Consider the following 27,513-nt stretch of genomic DNA (forward strand, 5'->3'; position numbering starts at 1 on the left):
GTATCAGGAAGAAGGCTGCTCTATTACCAGAGAGACTTTATCTGCATAATAATACAACTTTTATTCACCATACAGCTCCATTCCTCACCCTCCTGTAACTTGTGTCACCACCACCCAGAAGGCCCAAGCCCTTTTCCTTTCTGTAGCTGAGGATGTTCTATAAACTTCAATCATCTGACCTTTCCCTTGTCTCATGTTTTGTGGAACTCCTTTGCGGCTACCGGTAATTAAAGTGGTTTTTCTCCTGTTAATCTGTCTTCTGTCAGTTCATGTCTTAGGCTTGGTTGTTGAACATTCAGAGGGTAGAGAGAAAGTTCTCTCTCCCTTATAGTGTATAATATATAATTTGCTTCCTTTGAATTTTTTCCAAGTGTTTGTCGTTCCCTGTCAAGTAATCTTCACGAAATCCCTGTGAAAGAGATGGTAAGTAGACAGTGAAAAAGGGGCAGTCATTGATGCTCCTGGCCATGGAACGAGTGCAGGACAGGTTCCTCTTGCAGGCCAGTTTCATGGGTGTGTCACCTGTGCAGTCACAATCCACAGGACTCATAAGGGCCCACACTTGCTTTAACACTCTGCTGTCACTACCATGAAATTCTTTATTTTTAAACAAGAAGCCCCACATTTTCATGTTGCTTTAGGACCACAAGTTATGTAGCCTTTCTGCTCCTTTGTCTTTAACACCGGCTCCCCACCCCATGACAATTAATGAACCTCTAGAAGAGTTGCAAACACAGTAAAATTGTTTTTCCTCAGGCCTCCACTTATTGCTGTGTGCTGAGAAGCTCATCACAGCATGCTACAGACCTCGCTCAAATGCAACCTTATTTTCTTACCTCAGTACAGTCTATGTTAACCTCCTCATGCTACATTTTACATATAGGACATTCCCTCTGACTTTTCTGAGGAGTCAAATGCCTTATAATACCTTCTAAAATATCTTCTCAAAATATATTCTACCATCTTATGCATATACTGTCATCTATTTCCCTCCCTCTTATTTAAAACAAATTTTTGAGAACGGAGAGATCGATTTCATGGTTGGAAAGACCAACTCTGTAAATGATGATAAGCCAAAGAAAAGCAAAGACAACAGCAAAGAAAGTGAATTTGCCAACATGTTAATCGTGGTGCGTCCTCTACTTTTCTCTCAAGTTCTGGCATTGGATTTGCTCCGCCTTTGTCGCCTCTGCCCTGTGTTGCATCCAGCTCTCTGTTGAAACTGAAACATCATAACAACAATGAGGATAATAGTGTGTATGGAATCTTCATCAGTATATTTGACCTTAGAATCCACCCGTGAGCACAAGAGAGAGCTTAGGCTTGACATATTTCCCTAAAATGGTGTGTCTGTTCACTCACATGCAAACATGTGCACCCTGGCCAGTCATTTTTATTACCTTCAAATGAACTGTCATGAAGTGGAGTGAGGTCTGAATGTGCTTTGGTGTTTTCAGCTTGGTATGTCTCTGCCAGGCTCTCCTGGTTCTAAGGCATTGACACAGAGCTGTCTCACCTCCAGTCCCAAATACAGCTCCACAGAATTATCAGGGGCCCTGCAGCCACGATTCTCTAGGCTATTATGATAACTTCACTACTAGCTGCATTGTTACCAGCTCAGGTTGACATTCCCACACCACCCAGAAGGAGCATGTTCTGTCAGAGTTTCTGGGGGAATCAGTGCCTTTGTGGAAGAAAAAAAAAAAAAAAAACCCAAACCAAACCAAAGCAACAACAACAACAACAACAAAAACCCACAACAAACCCTCCCAAAGGGAAGGCTAGAAAAATGAGCCAGAGGCAGTAACCAGGGTCTTTTGAAAACTAGTTTTTAAAAGGCCTCCTTTTCCTTCCCATTCCATCTGTTCTCTAACCCTTCCATTAACCCCCAGAGCCTCTTGTTCTTGCTCCCTTCCCCAGAACTTAAGCAATAGACAAAAGACACTCTCACTTCCTTACACGTCAAGAAAATCGGAATGGACTTCAGTATGGCTAAGGCAAATCTGAAGAGGAAAATTAATAAACCACCACATTACTAGATAGATACCATAAACAATCAGGATTTGAAGAATAATTCTAAAAATAAGAAAAAGGGGTAAACATTTTTTTTTAAATGAGCAGCATTTAGAAGTACCGAAATACCCATATAATCACTAGGCTTGTTGCCTAGTGAAGAAGCACATTCCACATGTTCATCATAGTTTTTAAAAAATATCTGGATTCAAATCCAACTGTACCGCCAAGTTTACCTGTATTTTGGTTTACATAAGCACAAAAACTCTAATGCTTCACAAAACCATTAGCTCAAATGCACATTTTTTTTTCTGTGAATTTCACTTTAAAGGTTTAGTGGATTGATTTATAATTTGTTGCCTTTTGTCTTTTTCAACAGTATGTCATTAAGTCTTTAATTTGGTGTTTCCTGTAGTCTGCAGTAGGATATATGCTATTTTAAATCCAAGGATTGCAGACATAGATGGTGGGTAAAAATCTGTGAACCATAAGTAAATTCTTATAAGGAACATACAAAAAAGATTGTTCTTCAGTCAGACTTAAGCCATTACTTTTTTCTAAAGAAGAAAAGGCACAAGTTAAGAAAAAGGCACCGTCAAAGACCTTCTGCCCAAATGTGCATCTCCATGAAGTTTCCTGCTGAGTGCATATGAATGCACCGTGATCTGGGAAAAGGATCCAAATAGGATTTCAAACATCCAAAAATTTTAACTCAAACATTTAGGTATTTCACCATGCTGCTATTCATTCATTCACTGATTTTTTTTGTCTTAGTTTAAAGAGATGCTAAACAAAAGGAGGCAAGCTCTACATGTATTTACATTCCAAAACTAAGCTCCCCTCACCATCCCCCAAGTCTGTCATCCCTTCACAGCTAAACAAACCGTAAAGTCTAGCCTTAACTTGGGGAAGAGAAGTAACAAACATGTAAGAAAGTTTCTCCCTTTTCTTCAACAAAACAGAACTAAACACCCGGAGTGAATAATCTATTATAGTTCCCAATGTTGTTGTTTTTTTCTATAATCTGCACAATTTAAGATAATGCATGTAGGCTAAATTAAGGAACAAGATCAGATTCTTTACGAATTTGGTACTATTGAGTTCTTTATTGTTAAACAGTTTTTTGTCAATGAAATGCATTGGCATCTTAACTACTAAATTTAATGAAAAAATATGTATGTTAATTTATTTATAAAATTGATGAATTTATTATCATAAAGTATAAGACTTTCTGAAACACCCTGAAAAAGATAAACAGGTTTTTTTTTTTTCTTTTTATGTTCCTAACCCAGTTGAGACGTACCTAAGTTTGTCATCTAACAGTGAAGGTTTTTCCAAGTGATTTTATTTATGCCCTTATCCACATATGTCAAAGGTAAGTAAACGACGTATTGTTTAAGTAGGTTTCCATTTGCTTTGAGATAAGGCTAAAGCAATTAATTCTCTGGTAGTTTTTATTTTTAAGAGGGTCTACATTATTATTTCGGAAGCTTTATCTTAACAAATGATCTGAGAATCTTCATATCTACTTAAAGTAGTGTTCGGTAAAACTACAGAGGGCTATACCTAGAAATCTATTATTTGTTGGAAGGATTTCTTAAAAGCCTTCAATTAATATCATATTGAACGACAGTTAAGTATGTTGGGGCCATGAAGTCACTGAATTATCTCAATCTCTGAATGTATTTACAAATTTTCAAATTTCAACTTTAGATCTTCTGCATATGCATAATTCCAGAAATGTAATAAACTACATCCTAAATTTGAAAAGGAAATGTGAATATTATGACATTCTAATGCTCATGCCAATGTAGCCTTATACAAACATACACTTGATTCTGTAAAAAATCTGGAACAAAAAGTAATATTTATAATTGGGTTGTTATAAATTGAAGAATCAAGTAGGAATGTAAGCACCATCTATTTCCATTTTTTAAAAAACCAGACCTATACTTTCACTGCTTTTCACAAAATATCTACAAAAGCATTAAACTCTTTCATCTACAGCACACTTTGCAATTATTCTCTTCTTCTCACATCTGAAAAGCAAATTAGCAGTTCTCAAATGTGACGCTACAACACCAGACAAAATTGTAAGCTCTGAGCTTTGTTAAAACTAGTATGAAAAAACTAAATATATCTGTAGATCTAAAAGAAATATAACCAAAAAAGTAAACATATGAAGTATTAAAGTTACTTATAATTGGAAATATCTGAAATATTAAAATGAGATTTTAAAAATCAGTGGTGACCCTCCCCCTCTCACACTGTCAATGGAGACTGTGTACGTTCCAGGAACCTGGACTGGCACTGGGGGAATGATGTGTCCTTTCCCCTCCTTACAGGAGCAGTGTCAGCGGAGGCCTACTAGTTAGGACTTTCACCACCACCTTGCAGTACCAAGGCCACCCCCCTGCAGTGTCAGTAGAGACTGTACTCAGAGCAGTAAGAATCCCCACCTCTCCCAGAGTGGGGGTATCATGGGAAGGCTGGTAAGGAGCCTGAACTCCTGCCCCTGCCAAGCAATAATGAGGTATGCCTACCCACCAGATGCCAACAAAGACTTAGTGGGTAACCCAGACATCCAACCCCATTGAACAAGTAAAGAGGTAGAGCAGTATCAGACGACATCTACTAGACAGAAGGTCTCAAAAAGATCCATCCAAAATTTCATGAAATAATAGCCAAAGTGTCTAAAATTTGATGAAAAATGACTTGTCATACCAAGAACCAGAAGCACCTCAACTTGAATAAGAAAAGACAGTCAGCAGGGCTTCGTGGCTCACTCCTGTAATCCCAGCACTTTGGGAGGCTCAGGTGGCCGGGAGGTCAGGAGTTCAAGACCAGCCTGGCCAACATGGTGAAACCTGGTCTCTAATAAAAATTAAAAGAAAAAAAAATTAGCTGGCTGTGGTGGCTGGCACCTGTAGTCCCAGCTACTCAAGAGGCTGAGGCAGGAGAATCGCTTGAATCCAGGAGGCAGAGGTTGCAGTGAGCCGAGATAGCACCATTGCACTCCAGCCTGGGTGACAGAGTGAAACTCCGTCTCAAAAAAAAGAAAAGACAGTCAAGAGACACTAACACCAAGACACAGATATCAGAATTTTCTGACAAGGATTTAAAATCAGCCATCATAAAAATGGTTTAGGGCCAGGCACAGTGGCTCACGCCTGTAATCCCAGCACTTTGGAAGGCCGAGGTGGGCAGATAACCTAAGGTCTGGAGTTCGAGACCAGCCTGACCAACATGGAGAAACCCTGTCTCTACTAAAAATACAAAATTAGCTGGGTGTGGTGGCACATGCCTGTAATCCCAGGTACTTGGGAGGCTGAGGCAGGAGAACCGCTTGAACCCGGGAGGCGGAGATTGCAGTGAGCTGAGATCATGCCATTGCACTCCAGCCTGGGCAACAAGAGTGAAACTCCATTTCAAAAAACATAAACAAAAACAAAAAAGCTTTAATGAGCAATAATAAAGAAGCATAAAACAAAAGAAAAAATATAAAACATCAGTAAGTAGAAGATGTAAAGGATCAAATATAAACTTTAGAACTAAACAATACAATAACTGAACAATACAAAAGCTCAGTGATGGACTCAATAATAGAAGAGCGAAAACAAAAGAATCAGCGTACCTGAATTTCTTTAACAGAACAACAGAAATTACTCAATCTGAACAACAAAGAGAAAAAGTCTAAAAACAATGAACAGAGCCTCAGGAACCTGTGGGACCATAATCGAAGATTTCCTTTGTGTCACTGAAGTTTCAGAGGGAAAAAAGAAAGAGGGTGTGGCTGAAAACTTCTTCTAAGAAACAATGGCTGAAAATATCCCAAATTTGGCAAAAAGACATAATGATTGAAGAAGTTTACAGATTGAAGTTTAGAGAACCTCAAACATTTGAAAAACCCATGGAAATCCATGCCAAGATACAACATAATGAAATTTCTGAAAAATAAAGACAAAGAAAAAGCTTCAAAGCAGCAGGGCAGAAAGGGACACCTCACCTAAAGAAGAATAAAAATTAAAATGACAGCAGATTCCTCCCCAGAAACCACGGAAGCCAGAAGGAAATGATGCAACATTTTCAAGTGCTGAAAGAAAAGATCTGTCAAGACAGAATCTGATTCTCAGTGAAAATATCCTTCAGAAATGAAGGGGCAATTGAGACATACTCAGACGAAGGGAAACTCAGAGAATTTGTCACTGGCAGACCTACCCTAAAGAAATGGCTACAGAAAGTTATCAAAATGGAAGAGAAATGATAAAAAGAAGAAATACTGGAACACTGGGAATAAGGAAAATTGAAAAGAGCAAAAATACGCGTAAGTATTATTGGGGCTCAGGAAACAATGTCCCAAAGTATGGTGCTTTGGCATGCTGAGTGCTTTGAATCAAGGTTTCTCTGACCTTCTCCTCACCCTCCTCCAGTCCCCTGCTGCCCCTGTCTCTCATCTCTTGCCCCTCTTTCCCTCCCAAAGTGCAGGAAGGTGCTTTCTCTGAAGTTCCCTTATCTGACTAAGGGAAGTTCCTCCAGAAGAAATGCAATTGCTTTGAGCCCCCCTCTCTATAATCTTATCAAACAGAGAAGATTAGCTCACAGGAAAGGAGACTAAAGGTCAAAACCACCTATTCTGAAGATTGCTAGCTGAGAGACTTTATCCGTATAACAAGACAGCCTCTGCTCATCACACATTTTTCTCCCCTCAAACCTCTATAACCTGTTACCACCTCCCACCAGAAATCCCAGCCCCTTATTTCTTTCTGTAGCTCAAAATGCTATTTAAGCTTCCACCATCAGGCCCTTTTTTGAGTCTCATATTGTGTGGGGCTCCCGTCTATATGCATGTAATAAACGTGTGTGCCTTTTCTCCTGTTAATCTGTATATTGTCAACTTTATTCCAGAGACTCAAATTATTGAACCTTCAAAGGATGGAGGGAAAGTTCCCTTCACCCCTATGCCCTTCTCCTCTTGAGAGATATCATGTTTGATGGTGGAAGAAAAAATTACAACACTGTCTGATGTGGTTCTCAATGTTCTCAAAGAGGAGATATAAAGAAGAATAAGTAGAAATCGTTGAACTGAAAAATGTAATAATGAAATTAAAAACTCAATGGATAGGCTCGACAGCAGGATGGAGAAGTCAGGTCAGTGAACCTGCAGACTGAAAAACAGGAATTACCCAATCTGAACAACCGAAAGAAACTAGACTGAAAAAATAAAAAATATTTAAGACAATTATATTATAAATGAGGAGGGTAAAGGGATGTAGAGAGAGATAATAATTTTTACATTGGACTTGAATTAGTAAAATGTTGACACAAATAGGCTGTTAAAGATTATGGATGTACAGTGTAATACCTAAAACGACACTAAAAATCTAAACAGACACATTTAAAAATATTACAGATATATGGAAATGCAATTATAAACAAAGTTCAAATAACCCTCAGGAAGGCAGGAAAAACAAAACAGTGAAAGGTAAAGAGACGGTTAAGTCGAAAAAGCAAAAAATGAAATGGCAGACTTAAGCTCTAGACTTTCGAAGATGGGAAATACAGGATTGACTCTAAAGGGGTACGACTTTATCTTGATCATGGTGGTGATTACCCAAATCTACACATGTGAAAAAAAAAAAAGACATGGAACTATATGTACACATTATACCGTTGGGGCTCAGAAACTGATACACCAAAATATGGCGCTTTGATGTGCTTAACTGAAGAAGAAGCCTTAGGCCTCTCTGACCTTCCTCCTCCCTTCCTTCTCTCAATCCTCTGCGCCTCCCAAAGCAAAAGATGAAGTTATTCTCTGAAGTTCCCTTATCTGCTGAGAGTCTGGACTTGCCAAAGAAGAAAACAATCACCTCTGGTCCCTTCCCTGAGTTTTCATTAACTGAACTCATATCACAGGAAGAAAGACTGAAGTCTGTCAACACACCTGAGCAGGTTTTTGTCACGAACCATCGTGTCTGCTCTGCTGGCCCAACAGACTTTGTCCTAGGCCGGTGTATGTTCTTCAAGCCCACTGAATTCCCCTAAAAATCATTTACTACTCTCCTAAAATCATCCCTACTTCCCCATCACCCTTTCCCCTGAGAAGAAGGGTATATAACCATCAGCACCCCACTATGTGGTGGATTAATCACTCTGGGATTCTTCCCTGTGTGTGTTAATAAATTTGTATGCCTTTTCTCCTATTAATCTGCCTTTTGTCAGTTGATTTTCAGTGAACCTTCAGAAGGCAAAGAGGGAGGCTTGCCCTTGGCCCCTACGATACAAGTTTCCTGGCTTGGTTGTTGTACTATATGGTTTTATAAAATGCAACCATGGAGAAAACTCGGTGACGAGTACACAGGATCTTTCTCAGCTATCTTTGTAACTTCCTGTGACTCTATAATTATTCCAAAATAAAAATCAATGGCAGTTATGTAACATGAAGCTACATGCAGGTAATGGTACTTTTGCAGATTTGTGAAGAAAACCAAATTCGTGAGTAACATGTACTGCGATGTTAGATTTATCCATACTTTTTAATACTTTGTATTGTATAAAAACTTAGTAAAAAGACACAATTTTAAAATTAATATCTGATACAATTTTACTTGTTATTTTAGGGTCGGTATGGTACTAACTCAATTCATATAATTATTATGTCTCCAGGAATAAGATGTATAATGAGGATTCCTAAGCAAGCCTATGAGTTACTTTGCAAATATTCAAGAAGAATGTATTTATGTTCATCATAACACATAACCCTATTTCCTCATATCTAAACAACATATGGTTACTCATATTTAACCAGAACAGCTAACAATAACAACCTATTACTCAATAATCTGGATAAAGAATTTGTAGTGTCAAGAAAAGAGATATATATACAAATACATATGTATATCTATAGTTAATACAAATACTCACAAAGTATAACATATAAAATCCAGAGGCTTTTGAAAAGGCAATTCAAGAAGGAAAAAAACATTTTTTATGCATTTACCAAATAAGTTAATGTGGAATAAACATTTCATGAAGTGTTCAACATAAAGTGATACAAAAAATGATAAAAGTAGGTTTTATATGTCTATTTGTAGTATGTGTGTTTATGTTATATACACATATTTTTTAACATAAATTTTCCACTTTTACTAAAACCAATAAAGATAAAGGAAAAGTAGGGCCAAATCCCAGGCAGATTTGATATCTACAGAAAAACATGAGAGCACTTTCCTGCCACTAAATGGAAATGAAACAATCCTTTCTTTGTGGAACAAATGGAAAGTGAGGATAGCGACCAAAAGCTTAAGTTTACCCTCACCTGAGTTTTCTTATATCTGCTAGTTGAATACACACATATGATATGATTGCAGAGAGACAAAGGGACCAAAAAAAAAAAAAAAAAAAAGCAAACAACAGTCACATATTGAAAGCACTTCCCATGCCAAGAACAGCAAACCTAATATCATGGCTTGTGAAGGCGATTCTGTAAGGAAACAGAGAATTTAATTCAATTTCTTAAAATTAATTGGAACCTTGAATATAAGATGCTGGACTGATAAAGAACCTGAGGCAAATTTCTAGTACATCATAATCACATTTTCATGAACAAGAATTTAAAAATCGGAAAGTGCTATAACGAAAAGACATGTGTTTCTTTCTGAATAAAAGCAATACCAAGTGATAAGGGATAATCACTGCTTTTCTTTCCTCAGTTTAGTGGGAAAGATCCTATGCTACTGGCAAGTTATTTGTTTGTTTGTTTGTTTGTTTGTTTGTTTGTTTCGGTAATTACAATCCGATCACATTAGTGAGAAAGCTATTTCCCAGGGATAAATTGACCAGGAAGGGATTTTGAATATTTTATGCTACTAGAGCATCATCTTATAACAGTAATAATTTCCGGGAGGATTTTACTTGCCTTGAATATTGTGCATCTTCTTGGAACTTTTTCTTAGAAATATTTATAGAACTTTTCAAATCATAGGTATTGTTATTTCTTAAGGTGCCTCTTTGGGAGGAATATTAGAAATACCAACTTCCTATAATAGCCTCTACCAAGAAGCAGAGGGCTTGATGGGATAATTTCTAAAAACAAACCAAGAAAACCTAAATACATTTTTAGTACCAAGGTGATGACCATTTATCAAAGAAGTAAATAATTTCATGCGTTAAATCATTTCCTTATAGTTTTTCATTAGTAACTGAGTTAATGCTGAATTTTTAGACTGACTAGCTTGTTTCAACTTTGACACATATTGTGTTCAAGAAATAATTATTAAGTGAATAAAAATCATATTCTGCACATAGTAAAAATCAAAGTCTATCTTATAATCTGTCACATACCAAAATTATAGCTTTCAATTTATTTTCTTTCTTTATTTTTTGAGACAGGGTCTCACTCTGTCACCCAGGCTAGAGTGCAGTGGCATAATCAGAGCTCACTGCAGCCTTGACTTCTCAGGCTCAGGTGATCCTCCCAACTCAGCTTCCTGAGTACCTGGGAATTACAGGTGTGCACCACAATGCCCGGCTAATGTTTGTATTTTTTGCAGAGATGGGGTCTCACTATGTTGGCCAGGCTGGTCTTGAATTCCTGGGCTCAAGTGATCCTCCCACCTCAGCCTCCCAAAGTACTGGAATTACAGGTGTGAGCCAGTGTGCCTGGCCTATACCTTTCAATTTATAATTCTGAGTCGAACATTCAAGAGAGCCAAGGGAAATTTTCTTGAGATTGTAAGGAGTAAAATTCCTAATCTAGTTACAGAAGCTAAGTGGGACTACAGGAGACATGGGTAGAGCTGAGGCCTACCATCATCACAAATATTGCCTGAGCCATTATGCCATTATTTTTGCAACAACACCTGTTCCTGAAGAACAACATGGAGAGACACCAATGAATAAGCCACATTACATTTTAGGGGGCAGGACTGGGCATTTGAGGGTTGTGAGAAACATGTAAACTGAGTTGCCAGAAGGTTACTAGAAGGAATCTTCTTCTCTAGTTCCTACTGACAGATGTGTGTGACCACTTGATGCAAAGCTCTCTTCTTAAGGATATAAGCCACATGAACCATAGCTATGGAAGGTATAGAAAGGAAAATCTTAAGATTTTCTTTCTGGATATGAGGCCTCACTTGCGACTAACTAAAGTGCATTTTGTTATTATTCTTTCCTTACTATTCATTTTAAATGAGTGGGTTTGTGGTGTTTCTAAAAATTTAATTGACTGTCTTTGGCTTGTAATGCTCTGAAGTGTAAACAGGTGAAACTGGGAAAAGAAAATGAATTATCCAGGATTTCTAGACAGTAGGATCCTGTTGAAAGTCAGCATGACCAAATATTTTGCACATCCCCTGTGCACCACACAAAACAAGCAATAAAGCTGTGCTTATAGAAAGTTTTTGAAAAAAATTACATCAAGTCTTGTCTTAACCAGTCGGAAGGCAATTGTGAATGGTGAGATTCCTCTCTTTATTAATTACTTAAACTTCCATAATGAAATTCAGGTGTGATCCCTAAGGCTCTGCAGCCCAGAACAGTTAAATGAACTGCAGAATATGGTATTTGCCAAAGGGGAATTAATTATGTTAAGAGATGTATACTATGAATACCAACAAGCCTAAATATGTGCTGAATAGTAGAAAAGGGATAAACTAGAATTTTACATTATAAAATTCCACCAACCTCACAATCATGGCCCATCATCTGGTTGAACATTTTTGGTTTTGTTTCATTTTTACTTTTGCCATTTTGATCTATGCTTGCACCAACTGCCACATCCAACCTGGCCATCTGCAGCACACGGGGAACTTTTTCTTATACCCTCCCCTCCCCAGTAATCCATGGGACCTATTATTTAATCAAAGAATCAAATACTAGCCCTCAGGTCAAACAATGAGAACAAACTCACTCCCTGTATTTTGCGCTGAACATTCCCAGAAAAGAGTCATTACTAATATGCATATTAAAGTGTACTTATGCCAATATCAACCAGTTAGTAATAGACAGTATTTCTTTCTTTCTTTTTTTTTTGAGACGGAGTCTTGTTTTGTCACCCAGGCTGGAGTGCAGAGGCGTGATCGTGGCTCACTGCAAGCTCCACCTCCTGGGTTCATGCCATTCATTCTTCTGCCTCAGCCTCCCTAGTAGGTGGGATTACAGGCACCCGCCACCACGCCCGGCTAATTTTTTTGTATTTTTAGTAAAGACGGGGTTTCACCATGTTAGCCAGGATGGTCTTGATCTCCTGAACTTGTGATCCGCCTGTCTCGGCCTCCCAAAATGCTGGGATTACAGGCATGAGCCACTGCACCCGGTGACAATATTTCTGTTTTGGGGTAGCAATGATAACTTATATAAATGATGAATCATTCCAAGTTCCATAACTGCAATCGGTCAAAAGATTAAATTATTTTCAATCTGCCCCACAGCCATATGTGTTATAATTTTATAGTCCTTTCTTAATACAAAGTCCCATAACAACCTCAGAGCCTCAAAAGCTCTTTCACTAATTTGAGCAAATTTTCTCTTTTCCCATTCAAAATTCACCTCCTTAATTCACCATCAAGGGGGTGGACCAGGTTGAGGGGAATCTTCTTTTTAGTAAATTAAAAAAAAAAAAAAACCACAACTGAATGCAATAACATTTTCTAAGTTTCTAGCAAAGTGTTAGTTTCCTTAGATTTTTACCAATATGTCAAAAGTTGATATTTAATAATCTGTTCTACCCAACACTTAATTGGCAGTCTATCCATTGAAGGCAAAGAGCAGAAATGAATGTCTCTCTCTGAATACACTAAGTGTAGTCAATCAGAATTACTAACAATTGGCCAGGCATGGTGGCTCATGCCTGTAATCCCAGCATTTTGGGAGGCCAAAGTGGGAGGATCATTTAAGACCAGGAGTTTAAGATCAGCACCATCAACATAGCACGACCCCATCTCTACAAATAATAATACTACTACTAAAAATTAACCAGGTATGGTGGTATGCGCCTATAGTCCCAGCTACTTGGGAAGCTGAGATGGGAGGATGGCCTTAGCCTAGGAAGTCAAGGCTTAAGGCGGCAGTGAGCTATGAGGACTACATTGCACCCAAGCCTGGGCAACAGAGTAAACCTCTGTCTAAAAAAAAAAAAAATTACGAAGAATTCATGGTGTAATTGAGAAGGCTGCAAATAGTTGTTTTAGATTGCAGGTTCTTGAGTCAGACTCTCTGGGTTCGAATCTCAGCTCTGTCTTTTACTTGCCCTATAACCTTGGGCAACTTCCTTAAGGAATTTTCTCAGATGTAAAATGGGGATGATTACAGTAACTACTTCCTCAGGTTGTCAGGAGTACATGAGATAATGTTTGTTAAATGCCTCTCACAATGTCTGGAAAATAGTTAATTTATAAAAACAGTTACCACCACCACCACCACCACCACCACTACCACCACCACCACCACCACCACCACCACCACCACCACCACCACTACACCTAGAGAAGCATGCTAAAGAGAAGACACAATACAGCTCTCAAAGAGTTTACAATCTCAATTTGCAAGTATTAAAAACCCCCACTCTCTAAAAATATGGTAGACATATTAAGCATATGTAACATATGCAATAAATACACACATCATACTTTCAGTAAAATATAAAGTATTCATATTCAAAAGGCTTCTGAAAGTAGGCCGGGCATGGTGACTCTTGCCTGTAATCTTAGAAGTTTGGGAGGCCAAGGTTGCAGGATCTCTTGAGGCCAGCAGTTTGAGACTAGCTTGTGTAACACAGAAAGACCCTGTCTCTATAAAAAATAAAAAGAATGGCTGGGCGCGGTGGCTCACGCCTGTAATCTCAGCACTTCGGGAGGCTGAGGCGGGCAGATCACGAGGTCAGGAGATCGAGACCATCCTGACTAACACGGTGAAACTCCGCCTCTACTAAAAATACAAAAACAAAATTAGCCGGGCATAGTGGCGGGTGCCTGTAGTCCCAGCTACTCAGGAGGCTGAGGCAGGAGAATTACGTGAACCTGGGAGGTAGAGCTTGCAGTGAGCAGAGATAGCGCCACTGCACTCCAGCCTGGGTGACAGAGCCAGACTCCATCTCAAATAAATAAATAAATAAAATAAAAAGAATTAGCCAGGTATGGTAGTGTGTGTCTGTAGTCTCAGCTACTTGGGAGGTTAAGGTGGGAGGATCACTTGAACCCAGGAGCTTGAGGCTGCCATGAGCTATGATCGTGCCACTGTATTCCAGTCTGGGCAACAGAGCAACACCCTGTTTCAAAAAAGGACTTCTGAAAGTGAGTCAGGATATAAGTGGAAAAGTACCTGCTATACGACAAGCAAAGCCAAAGCAGCAGTTATGTATAAGACACATAAGGGCTTCAACACAGAGTTTTTGGAGGGGGGATAATATTTTAAAAAATAAATAAAAGGTTGTGGACTGCTCCATAGAAATAACACATTACTACATATTGTAACTATCATTTCTTAAGAGAAAGGACATTAATGGAAATGTTGGAAGGACATAAGATCAGAATTTAAAAGTCTTTTCAATTTTATGTCTTTGGATTTTTACATTTTGAACACTGAAACAGAGAGATGTGATAGGGAGTGACTGAGGAGTGTGAGAAAGCTACCTGAGCTGAGAGTTGAAGCCAGACATACAAAGATCTGAAGCAAGGTAATTCTGGGAAGCATCACCAGCTAATTCAAAGGTCCCGAGGCAGCAGTGAGTTTGGCTTGTGCCAAGAACAGAGAGAGAACCAGTGGGATAAAATAAAGGCAGGCAAACAAGCAGATGCAAGATTACATAAACTCTTGAGTTGGGTTTGATGGGTTTCAGCAGAGATGTGCCATGATATCAAGATGAGAATTAGAAGGAATCTCCTACCTGCTAAAGGGCAAAGAGCACTAAAATGGAAGGAAAATCAGTTCTAATATTAGAGCCACATTAACGTTGAAAGTGCCATTCAAGCTAATGAAAAAACTAGAAAGTAATGATGGTTGAAAAGATTAGGATGATTTAGGTCAACATGTTAAATTTAAGAAGAGAATGTGACACAAACAAGGAGCCACCTGGAAACCACTGTAAATGCAAGTAGCACATACTTAGAGTCTGCTTATTTCTATACACGTGGAAGCTACTATGTACAGATGGTACATGTGTACAGGTTGGGACAAGATAAACTCCCCCAAACCAGGGGGAGTCTAAGATCATGGTTAGAAGACTAAAAGATTTAAGCTTTATTATTGAGGCACTCAAAATGAGAAAAAAGTTTGTGCCGACATAGCATTTTTTAATACTAAGACAGACATTTAAGACTATCTAGACAAAAATTAATACCTGTAAGCCACTCTTGTGCATCACTTTGGGAAAGATAACTTGATGCTCAGACCATTAAAGTAATGCCATCTAGTTCCTGGAACTACCAGCTCAAATGTCATCTTGGCCACTCAGTCAAAGTAGATGAATAGACGACATTCTATTTCATGATGGGAAGATTCTGGAAGAGGTCTTAAAGGAAACATTCAAGTTTTATCTTGTGCAGAAGAAGTGTAGATAGAATACATGGCACTTATGAGAAAAGAGGATTGTCCTATTCTAGATAACATTTGCCCAGCTGTAGAGGCACTACCCTGGAGGCAACAGACCATGCGACCTGTTGCTTCAGTGATATAATTCACTTGAGAAATAAAGCTGTGTTATGGAAAGTTTATTCAGAGCTGCATCATATAATGGCCCACCTGAATGTGCCCCATTCTACCAAAAAACAAATTCCAAAATATACCACCATTCATGGCGAGAGTACTTGACATGCTCTTGTCTTTGTTGTCTAAAAAATAATTGTCCTTCACCCGAGACTTCGCAAAATGCAAGAACTAAATGCAGTTTCCCCATGACACAGATCATCTACATCCTTCCACAATCCCCAACACACACACACTAGATTTGTGATATCAATGACAAAGTTTTTCTTGGGCTCGTTATATAGAAAGGAAAAAGGATGTTTGGAAATTTTGTGAAACACCTAATTCCTAAGAAAAACATTTGTATCATCATCATTCCAATCACTGGTCAGGTATGATTAAATAATATATAATTGGCATGATTAAGGTAGAGCAGCCTTTCTACTTACTAACAGAAAATACATTTTCCACCTCATACTGACTACAGGCAATCAAGCTCTAGAAACTCCTACTCTATCCCTCTCAAGGCTGAGAATGGAGCATGTGAGGACTTTATCCTCAAAAGAGAGAAAATTTAGAAGACTCTTCTGGCTTTTAAATTTTTCTTAGGTCTAAATGACACATTTGTTTATTCATGGGTTTTTTTATTCTTCTTCTTATTTTTTTTTTGAGACAGAGTCTCACTCTGTCGCCCAGGCTGGAGTGCAGTGGCGTGATCTAGGCTCATTGCAACCTCCGCCTCCTGGGTTCAAGCAATTCTCCTACCTTAACCTCCCGAGTAGCTGGGATTACACGCATCTGCTATCATGCCTGGACTAATTTTTGTATTTTTAGCACAGACAGGGTTTCATCATGTTGGCCAGGCTGGTCTCAAACTCCTGACCTCAAGTGATCCACAGGTCTTGGCCTCCCAAAGTGCTGGGATTACAGGCGTGAGCCACTGCACCCGGCTTGTTTATTCATGACTCCTTTTGGTACATCTATGTTGAGAACATATTACATGCCAGGTACAATGACAAAAAAAAAAATGTGACAGGCAAGAGAAGAAATTTCTCACAATGCAAATAAGACTATAGGGTAAGAGAAGAGACTACTTAAGCATGGGAATTACTGTTGCACAAAACTAAAACTTAAGGATAGGGATGTTTGGTATTATTATTTCAATCATGCATAAAGCTACTCAACCTCTTGACTCTTATTGTAAATTAGAATTAAACATAAAAAGTTCTGGTTCCTGACATTTTCTGATGGCCCAAATTTTCTATTCTTCTTTTATTTTAATTGTAATCTATTTCCTGGATTAACAGGCCACCTTGAACTAAAAATGTTGGTTAATGTTTTACTTGATCCCCATATTTGGAGTCAGGTAGGTATGTCTGTATATATGTACATATATAAGTATTTTTCATGCCTGTGGAAGTTGGAATCTACAGCTATATAAGGTTAAAAAAAAAAAAAAGACTGGCTGGGCATGGTGGTGCACGACTGTACTCCTAGCACTTTGGGAGGCTGAGGCGGGTGGATCACCTGAGGTCAGCCTGACTAACATGGTGAAACCCTGTCTCTACTAAATACAAAAAATTCGCTGGGCGTGGTGGCGCATGACTGTAATCCCAGCTACTCGGGAGGCTGAGGCAGGAGAATGGCTTGAACCTGGGAGGTGGAAGTTGCAGTGAGCTGAGATCACACCACTGCACTCCAGCTGGGGTGACAGAGCAAGACTCCGTCTCAAAAAAAAGACTGTACAGACTGTACCAGATAGTGCTTAGAAAATGTTTGCTTAATCTATCAAAATAAATCACTTTAGTTGGGCACAGTGGCCCACGCCTGTGATCCCAGCACTTTGGGAGGCCGAGGCGGGTGGATCATGAGGTCAAGAGTTCGAGACCAGCCTGACCAACATGGTGAAACCCCATCTCTACTAAAAAAAAATACAAAAGTTAACTGGGTGTGGTGGCGCACACCTATAATCCTAGCTACTCAGGAGGCTGAGGCAGGAGAATTGCTTGAACCTGGGAGGTGGAGGTTGCAGTGATCCGAGATCGAGCCACTGTATTCTAGCCTGGGCAACAGAGCGAGAATTCCATCTCAAAAAAAAAAAAAAAGAAAGAAATCACTTTAAAATCTTTTAGAGTTGTTGAATATTTTGTTAAGAAAATACCACAGAAATAATAGTTTGAAATGGCACTTTAAATTAGACATCATTAAAATTTTACTGACAAATATTTACAAGGACTGTCTTTTTTATTGAGACAGAGTCTCGCTTTGTCGCCCAGGCTGGAGTGCAGTGGCCTGATCTTGGCTCACTGCATGCTCCGCCTCCCGGGTTCACACCATTCTCCTGCCTCAGCCTCCTGAGTAGCTGGGACTACAGGTGCCCGCCACCATGCCCGGCTAATTTTTTATATTTTTAGTAAAGACGGGGTTTCACCGTGTTAGCCAGGATGGTCTCGATCTCCTGACTTCGTGATCCGCTTGCCTTGGCCTCCCAAAGTGCTGGGATTACAGGCATGAGCCACCACGCCCGGCACAAGGTCTGTCTTAGGTTGTCTTGTCATTATTCCCCCAGAATATTTTGAAAAAGGAAGAGAAGGTATAACTAGTGTTTGCTTAAGCATTAAGACGTTCCCATTGTTTTCACTAAAATTGAAAAATTAATCCATTTTGTTGTGGATTGATTTGATTCCCAGGATGAGTGTAAGGCAGGACTCATAGAAACTGCCTGTTTGGCCCTTGCTGAAATAAATAAATGACTTACAAAAATAATACCCATACTATGGACCCTAACATTCTTATCCTCTAAGCTTCAACCACATGAATCTTGAAATTGACAATAGAGCCAGAAAGAACAAACAGTAAACTATTTACAGTCACTCCCTTCTACTACTGTGAATAAAATGCATTCAAATGCTATTTGTTAAAGTAAAGGTGGTCACCCTACCAAATTGCTATGTAACTACTTCTGGAAATATTTCTACACTGTAGGCAGGCATAACAAATTTCTGAAGTAAAACATAATTTGGTGGGTATGAAAAGATACTTTGTAAACATCAACTAATAAAGAAATACACTTAAAAACAAAAAAAAAGACAGAGAGACAGGGTCTCACTCTGTTGCCCAGGCTGGAGTGCAGTGGCACAATCATAGCTCACTATAACCTCAACCTCCTGGGCTCAAGCAATCTTCGCACCTCAGCCTCCTGAGTAGCTCAGACTACAAAAGCACATGCCGCCACACTCAGCTAAATAACTTTTTTTTTTTTTAGAGACGGGGGGCGGTCTCTCATTGTGTTGACAGGCCGGTCTTGAACTCCTGGCCTCAAGCAATCTACCTGCCTCGGACTCCCAAAGTGCTGGGATTACAGGTGTGAGCCACCACACCTGGCCTAAGAAATATACTTTTTGAATGACTTAATCTAAAATATTAAAATTCTAACAAGTCAAAACACATGCACCCTTTGAAAACGACTTCTGGCTGAGAACATAGGCAAGACAAATATAGCAAATGAAATAGGTTAATTAAAAAAAAACCTGTCAGTTATTTAAATTTTTAAAATACTTTTTAAGTTCAGAGACATACTGAATCATATTCCTCAGTTATCAGCAAGTGCTTTTGATAGCTTTATGAAATCAGCTCACAAGTTTGTTAAACTCACATTAAGAACTCAATCCCAGATGTAGTTATGATATCAAATAAAGGAACTGTCTGGAGGAAGAAATGTACAGACATAGTAATCAAATTCTCATACAGGATTAATGAATGACATGTAGGCCAAAAGATGATTCATCTTATTTTAAAAGTAACTTTAAAAAAAACTTTGATTATTTTAGAATAAAACACATATCCTTATAGGTTTCCTTAGGCAGTGTCAAAATTAATTAAATGTATTTATGATATATTAATACTTGGTCATCAGAAATGTAACAGAAAGGGAAAACATAACTCTTTTGAAGAGTATACCTCATCTTTTCCAAATCAAGATGAGTCAAATGAAATTTGCACAAATTTTCCAAACAAAGGAATATCCAGGAACTAGACATCATTACTAAATTAGCAAATCTTTAAGAAATATCTTAAGATAATGTAATGATAAAGCCCACTTTTAAATATGAGAGCTATTTCCAATGCAGTGTCTATTTCCAATACAGAGTCTATTTCCGATACATTTTTTGTTTTAATAGAGTCATATTTGAACTATGTTTCTTTCAATAGAAATTGACTATTTTTTAAAACCCAAGTCCATTAAACAGTGAGTTAAGAAAAATTACTTGAAAAAATTAGCTAAAGTCTCCCAACTACTTACTTATAAAGTGAGAAAAATAAAATTAATATTAGGCTGAGGTGAGAGGATCACTTGAGGCTAGGACATTGATATCAGCCTAGGCAACATAGCAAGATCCCATTTCTAAAAAAAGAAAAACTCAGCATGGTGGTGCATGCCTACAGAGTCCCAGCTACTCAGGAAGCTGATGTGGGAGGATCACTTGAGCCCAGGGGTTCAAAGTTGCAGTTAGCTAAGATCACACCAATGCACTCCAGTCTGGGCAACAGAGTGAGACCCCGCTTCGTAAAAAAGAAAAAAAAAAAGGGATTTTGATCAGATATAAGAAACATTCTGGGAATCAAAGAAAAACATCAAATTATTCAAAATGAAATATCCCTCATGTAAATTACATGTTTAAAAGTGACTACACATTATTTGCAATGTTTTTAAAATTTCAAATAAAATTTATCCAATAAATTACTTTATAGTCTCATTTCTGGCACCAGTAATAATATCAATATGTTAAATAGAAATGCTTTTTATTTAAAATCAGATTTAAAAGATATAGTCCATCCAATTTCTACTTCTACATTTCTACATATTCCAATACTGACTGAAGGCAAACACCTCATTTCCTTCAGTGTTTACTCCCCTCTGATAAAAACGCTGAGGGTATACCAAGCGTAGGACTCTGTTTTCCTTCAAATCCATACTTTGTTCCTGTGAACTCACTTGGGGGAAAAAAAAAACTATATTTTTGTATAAGCTGAATGAGAAGCACTTGTAAAGATTGTCAGATACTTAATGTGGCAGATGGATAAAAGGGATGGGATGAGCTCTATTTTCAGACTAATAAAAACCTAATTATTTCAGAATCAATTATATTTATGACTAATTTTTTAAAGTCCAAAAATGTATTTTGTCATGAGAAATTTGAGCTCCAAAATTAAATAGATTTAGTGTTTTGTTTCCTATACTGGATTATATTTCAAAAATGGTTTTAGGTGGAATTGTAAAGATAAGCAATTTTAGCACATCTTAATAAATCCAAAGACACAAAATTCAAAGGGATGATTTTATTTTTAAATGGTAATTTACGTAAAAGCGATTCATCATATATAAGGAAGAATATATTTTCTTGGTTTATATCTTTTATAATTAAAACTGAGAAATAAAACTGTGGGGAATATAAATGTCTTATACAGGTTTTTATTTGTCAGAAATTAGTCTATTATTAGGTTACAGAAAATCTTAGATTTTAAATGACATTGAACCTACTAAGCCATACATTTTTTTAAATCCCCACAATATCTAAAACTTTTACCCTTGAAAGAAAACACACTACTGTTTCAACTATAAGCAAAGTTGTCTCCAAGTATTAAATGTATATTTCTTAAAGACTTAAAAAATTAATAAACATTTTAAAGAATATATTTATTAAGTTTCCAGGAAATATTCTGTCCTTACCCTTTATTTTTCTATTTGGAATACATTGAACTTAGAAATATGTCCAAGATAAAGAAAAAGTTTACATAGTTTTCTGTGAAAAATGATGACCAATACAGAAAATGTAGTAAATACATGAATGAAATGTAAGAAAGTAATCATTTATTTTTTATTTGCACAGATTAAGTTAATCCACACTGAAAACTAGCCACTGAACTAAAAAAGCAATAGCTAGAAAAAGTTTACGTGATGTCTAATGCCTCCACCCTAATTATCATTAGGTTTTACCTGCCAAGTAAAAATAGACACTCTAGAAAATATTTCAAAGGTTTTAGTATGCTTGACCCAGGACTATTGGCAACCATTGTGAACTTCAGGGATGATTACGGTATTTAATAATGAAATGCTTAAGTACACCTGAAAATGGATGATAGGCACTTTTAAAACTTCATTTGTTTTTACCTCCATTTCATTAGAGTCGTTATAGTATTAAAAATATTATATTTGCAACTCAAGGGGACATCATAGTATGCTAACAAGCTAAAACAAACCTATCATTTATTTCCACTGTTTCTTGGCAGCAATATAATGATTTTAATTCAAGGCTTTCCAAATTCTGCAAACATTATGGACCTTTCATCACAGTATTAGATTATCTATCCGAATCTCCAAACTATTACATATCTTAGAAATAATTTTTTATTTAGTAATCATTTTAATTGTCTAATCAACACCTTGAATTGAAAATCATACTTTAATTGCCAACTGTATATAACCTATGTAATTAATTTAATGCCCAGTAATTTATAGCTGATTATAGCAACATATATTTTAATGAGAGCATGTACAAGTGAATGTAATGAAATTGCTAATTCCTAAAAAGTTTTTGCTTATTTATACCTTGCTTAGAGTTAACAGGAAAATTATATTTTATCCAAACATTATGCACTGCAATAATGGCATAATGAAGACATAAGACTCTCCTGGCCTAATCTGATTCTCTGCAGAGCAGATGTAGTTAGTACTTAGCAGTCTAGACTAAATATAAGGAGATTTATTTTAAAGTGCATCTTTACCAATACTCTTGTGATGGTCCCAAGATGAACTTAAGTTTACTTAATTATAATGATAAATTGTTAAAACATATATAAAATCCCAAACAGAGGCATTCCAAAAATAACAGAGAACTAAGTTCCACCAAGAGCCCATCAAAACTCAAGTGTAAACCTCATGTAAGTCATTGAAAACAATGAAATACCTTAAAGGTAATTGAATAATTGAACAGTGAAATAAACCAAAATTAGAGTGATATAAATAAGACTTCCATTTGTTTCCATCTCACTCTGTGAATTTACATGTAAGATTAAGTGATAAACTAACACTTATAAATATAATTTTTAGCTTAATAAAACAGACTGGTCTTATTTGTAAACATATATATATATATATGATTCACAGATATAAAATAAGGGACAATCAAATACTAAGACATTTGCTGTCTTTGGAGAAATCATCATCATTGCCATATATTCATACCCCATTTCCAAATTATAAATTCACTTGGGAAAATCAAAGACTTTCATTATATTGACACAAAAGTTAACAGAGTTGATCTATGCCTTTACAATTCTTTTTAAGGTGTCAGACACGCCAAGCTCTTCCTCCATGCTTTGTAATTTCAAAACATACTCCAAGATGCAATAAAGTTCTTAGTGATCAAAATGAAGTGCTGAGATTGCCAGAGATTACAGGAGACCAACCACTAGGTCTCTGCGATTCCAGCAATCATGGTGACAGGGAAGAGTTGCCACTTGTCCACTCTTCTATTCATATATCTACCTACTCACCTACTCATCCATGCATGTACGTAGGCATCCACCTACTCAACTAAATACACCCAATGTTTGTCGTACCTTGTATAGTGAGGCTGTCCAAGTCTTTAGAAGTTCACACTTTTAAGAAAGGGAAAAGGACCTGAAAAATTGGCAGATGAAAATGAAGACAGAAAAGAGGAAAAGAAAGAAAATTAAGACTAAAGTAGAGAAAAACAAAAAGTGTAGAATAGGTTATATACATCTTGTAAAACAAGATATTCATCCTTATTATATTTCTATCACTCACTTATCTCTTAGATAATGAGGTTTCTACAGAACATAATATAAAATGACATATTAAAGAATATGGTGACATCAGGAGAACTGTAAAGTTCTTTGAAAGGCAAATAGTGCCGGGTGTGGTGGCTCAGGCCTGTAATCCCAGCACTTTAGGAGGCCGAGGCAGGTGGTTCACTTGAGGTTAGGAGTTTCGAGACCAGCCTGACCAACATGGTGAAACCCCTTCTCTACTAAAAAACTACAAAAATTAGATGGGCTTGGTGGCAGATGCTGTAATCTCAGCTACTTGGGAGGCTGAAGCAGGAGAATCGCTTGAACCCGGGAGGTGGAGGTTGCAGTGAGCCGAGATTGCACCACTGCTCTCCAGCCTGGGCAACAGAGCAAGACTCTGTCTAAAAAAAAAAAAAAAAAAAAAAAAAACAAGGCAAATAAATTAATAAATGCAGCTAGAAATGGATAGAAATTTATTTTGAAAAACGTATTTATTTTTGAACTTTTTTCTGGTCCACTGGAGAAGAAGCCACAAAAGATCATAAACAATGTGTACGTAAAATTATAAAATTGTATGGTTGAAACTGTAATGCATTTATTCCAATTTCAAACAAGAAAGGGCAGATTAGACATTTGACTCATTTGACAAGCATCAGCTTTAGTCCTCTTTGGATTTATTCTCCTGTAATTCACAGAAGAGCTCTGACCAAATTCTAATTTTTTGTTCTTCAATATTTCTTATCTTTACATTTCGTCATGCATTAAAATCCTATTTGGACTTGTCTGGCACCAATGGCACATTCTTCCTGGCTAACAGCATTATGCAGATATTAATAATGTTTTAAAAGTGGTCAAGGGCATATCAGCAATGCACTTTGTCCCTCTTTTAATGAAAGAAAGCTCATACTTAAACAGGTGAACTATCACATACCTAAAGTTCCAGTGGGAAGAGAGAATCAAATATCAAGTCTAACAAGATATTTGTTAATAAGAGCAACAACAGGATCTTGAAAATACAACCATAATTTTCAGAAAGAATACCTAAAATTTTTGCAGAAAGTCATATTTCTCTTAGTCTTATCATGAAATAACAGCACCTAAAAGCTTGGATTCTATGTTCATTGTTCCCACAAAGTATGAAAAAGGCATGAGAAACATTATTAAATAAGACTGATCACAGTAGAGCTACTAACTGCATTCATTATGTTTTTTAAATCCTCAAAGCCAAATACAGTTTTTACCACCATGTCCAACAGAGTTTCAGTGTTATAATGAAGTTTAGTAATTCCTTTAACTACCTGTGAAGGAAGTAAAGTATCTTCTAAAAACTTCTGGGTGCTATTGACATAATAAAAAAAGAGGGAGGGAAATTGCTCTATAACAGATTTTATAAATTTTTTATGGTGTAGTTTTTATAGTGCATCTATAAAATACACTGAAATGTGATTATCAAATATTGTTCAGCTCCCATAATGAAGAAGGCTAACATTAAGGATCTGTCCTTGTTTTTACTTTGTAACTCCTATTGTCTGAGCCAGATTCTCCTCAGGACCTTATTTTATTGTGATTACTGCAACATCCCTGCCAGCAAGTGTAGAGCAGACTTGGTCACTCCTTTGCTGAAGTCAGCCAAGAGAATATTCTATTAGACAAAGTAACATACGCCTCAAAGGCTTGGAAGCCAGGGGAAAAAGTGAGACACATACAAGACAATAATACATAAACCAATTAACTTAGCCTCTCAGGAAAACCATCCTCAGTCTCATCAAATTGTGTATTATCTGGCAATATAAATTGAAAATCTATTTATAGAGTAGTCAGGCTAAATCTCTTATTGCTAAAACAGAAGTAGTGAAGGTCAAAGAATGCAAAATCCTAGGAAACACAATTTTTTTCCAAAGGCTGTTTAATATGCCTTTGATATAGATTACTTTATTGACAATGGTTCTTTTGTCTTTCTGAAAACTACATCTGCACAACAACTAGGTCACCTTGAATTTCAAGTACAACATTGCCTATAAATTTAATTTAACATCATATTATCCATAATTACCATGAACAGGAGGCAGGTGTGACCCTTATGGTTAAGCTAGAGGGACCAAGGACAGGATAGGTTAATAGACTTGCTCAAGGCTCCAGGGTCTGAGTTAACTACAGGCTCTACATGAGCCACAAGTATGACCTGGCTATTAAAATATTATTACAATCACATGCTTCTTTAAAGAGTAGTACTTCCAAATCAAAGGAGGTACCAGTTCCATTGCTGGATAGTACACTCTTCACTCCAACTCTGAGGAACTTTATTTTAGCGTTAGATGGCATCTTTCATTTCATAGTTGGAATTGAAAGCATCCATAGAGGGCAATGAGAAAAGCAAGCAATCTGAAATTGACGCCCCAGGAACTCTGAATCAGGGAACTCTGAGTTGCAGAGAAAAGGCGGAGCAAGGATTTGAGGGCTATGTAGCTATGTATAAATATCCAAAGGATTGTTTGGTAAAAAATCCTCCAATAGATCATTTATTCTAGTTGGGAATGAAAGAGAAGAGGTTTTTTTGTTCGCTTGTTTTCGTTTTTGTTTTTTTTTTTTTTGAGACGGAGTCTCGCTTTGTCGCCCAGGCTGGAGTGCAGTGGCACGATCTCGGCTCACCGCAACCTCTGCCTCCTGGGTTCAAGCGATTCTTCTGTCTCAGCCTCCCAAGTACCTGGGACTACAGGCAAGCGCCACCACGCCTGGCTAATTTTTGTGTTTTTAGCAGAGATGGAGTTTCGCCATGTTGGCCAGGCTGGTCTTGAACTCCTAACCTCATGATCCGCCCACCTCAGCCTCCCAAAGTGCTGGGATTACAGGCGTGAGCCACCGCACCCAGCTCTTTCATTTTGTTGTTTCTAAATGTAATTAGGGCTACCATAAAATAAAGGGATTTTTCCTAATAAGTAGTATGCTTCATATCATGAAAATGTTCTAGGTAATGTGACAGCCTATCTTGTCGGTATCATTATCAGAGGGGTACCTAAATTTGGAAGGCAGTGAAATGATACATGGAAGATCTTTAAATCTAAGCTTCTGTAATTACAGGTCGTGGAGTCTGGCAGAGAAGGAGCCAAACTCAGAACTCAGATCTATGCAGATTAGCTCTCTGCCCTTCCTTTAATAACTGGACTCTTGGAGCATCTGATTGACAGGTCTCTACCCCAATCTTTCTACTCTGACTGACCTTACATAACACGTAGGGTTCTCTAATACAGCTGATGCTATTAACTTGATTAAAAATATTTGATAACTTTTAAGTCGTCATAGGACAAAGCCCAATCTGTCTAAAGTGACATATTCTGGTCTACACACCTGAATTTACATGGTCTCCTACCACACTTCTCTAACTTCCCTGAGAGTGCCTCGGGTGTCACCAAGTGGGGGTGGGGTGTAACACGGCTAGCAGCTGTGACACCAGGCCTTCTTTCCTGCTTGGAGAAGGCAGCTTTGCTTTTATCTCTTTTTCATATATATAGATCATGTATATAGGTTCAAAAAAAAATAAACCTATATATAGGTTCATGTTTTTAAAACGGCTTAGCTTTAGAAAACCACTGCTTCAGATACACAAAGGCATCATGGCACCTCTAACAGTACAATTAAGTACTAACTACATGCCTTCCTGCCTTTAGACACTATCTTCACCTCCTCATCCCTTCCTGGCAAATGCCTGTTCGTCTTTTGGGGCTGTAAAACAAGCACAACCTTCTCTGTTTCTTCAATTCCCAAGGCTGAATTATTTGCTCTTTCTCTTCTCCCATTCTACACATGCCTCTTTTTTTTTTTAGTACTTTATACATTAAAAATAGTATTAAACAAGCTTATCTTTCCCATATACAATTACCTTCCCAGAGCTAGGGGTATGCCTTATTTATATTTTTATCTCCACACTTTGCACAGTGTTTTGGATGTAGCAGGCTCTCAATAAGGCTCTGAGTGAATGGTAGTCACTGGTTTTCAACCTGTAATCTTTGA

At 37.5% G+C, this 27,513-nt stretch overlaps 1 protein-coding gene across 9 annotated transcripts in view, besides 3 other annotated features; it reads right to left on the reverse strand.

The window, feature by feature from the left end:
- Nucleotides 1–27,513, reverse strand: part of ARL15 (ARF like GTPase 15) — a 426,632-nt gene that overhangs the window by 131,951 nt on the left and 267,168 nt on the right. The window lies entirely within an intron of this gene.
- Nucleotides 1,677–2,451: an enhancer, noted in NCBI's record as "OCT4-NANOG-H3K27ac-H3K4me1 hESC enhancer chr5:53313399-53314173 (GRCh37/hg19 assembly coordinates)". NCBI's record gives its function as "activates a minimal SCP1, AML or CMV promoter by ChIP-STARR-seq in primed H9 embryonic stem cells {active_cell/tissue: H9 hESC(primed)}" and the evidence as "EXISTENCE:reporter gene assay evidence [ECO:0000049][PMID:30033119]".
- Nucleotides 2,452–3,225: an enhancer, noted in NCBI's record as "OCT4-NANOG hESC enhancer chr5:53314174-53314947 (GRCh37/hg19 assembly coordinates)". NCBI's record gives its function as "activates a minimal SCP1, AML or CMV promoter by ChIP-STARR-seq in naive and primed H9 embryonic stem cells {active_cell/tissue: H9 hESC(naive and primed)}" and the evidence as "EXISTENCE:reporter gene assay evidence [ECO:0000049][PMID:30033119]".
- Nucleotides 3,964–4,870: an enhancer, noted in NCBI's record as "H3K27ac hESC enhancer chr5:53315686-53316592 (GRCh37/hg19 assembly coordinates)". NCBI's record gives its function as "activates a minimal SCP1, AML or CMV promoter by ChIP-STARR-seq in primed H9 embryonic stem cells {active_cell/tissue: H9 hESC(primed)}" and the evidence as "EXISTENCE:reporter gene assay evidence [ECO:0000049][PMID:30033119]".

This window comes from Homo sapiens, chromosome 5 (genome assembly GCF_000001405.40).
Source record: "Homo sapiens chromosome 5, GRCh38.p14 Primary Assembly".
NCBI lineage: Eukaryota > Metazoa > Chordata > Mammalia > Primates > Hominidae > Homo > Homo sapiens.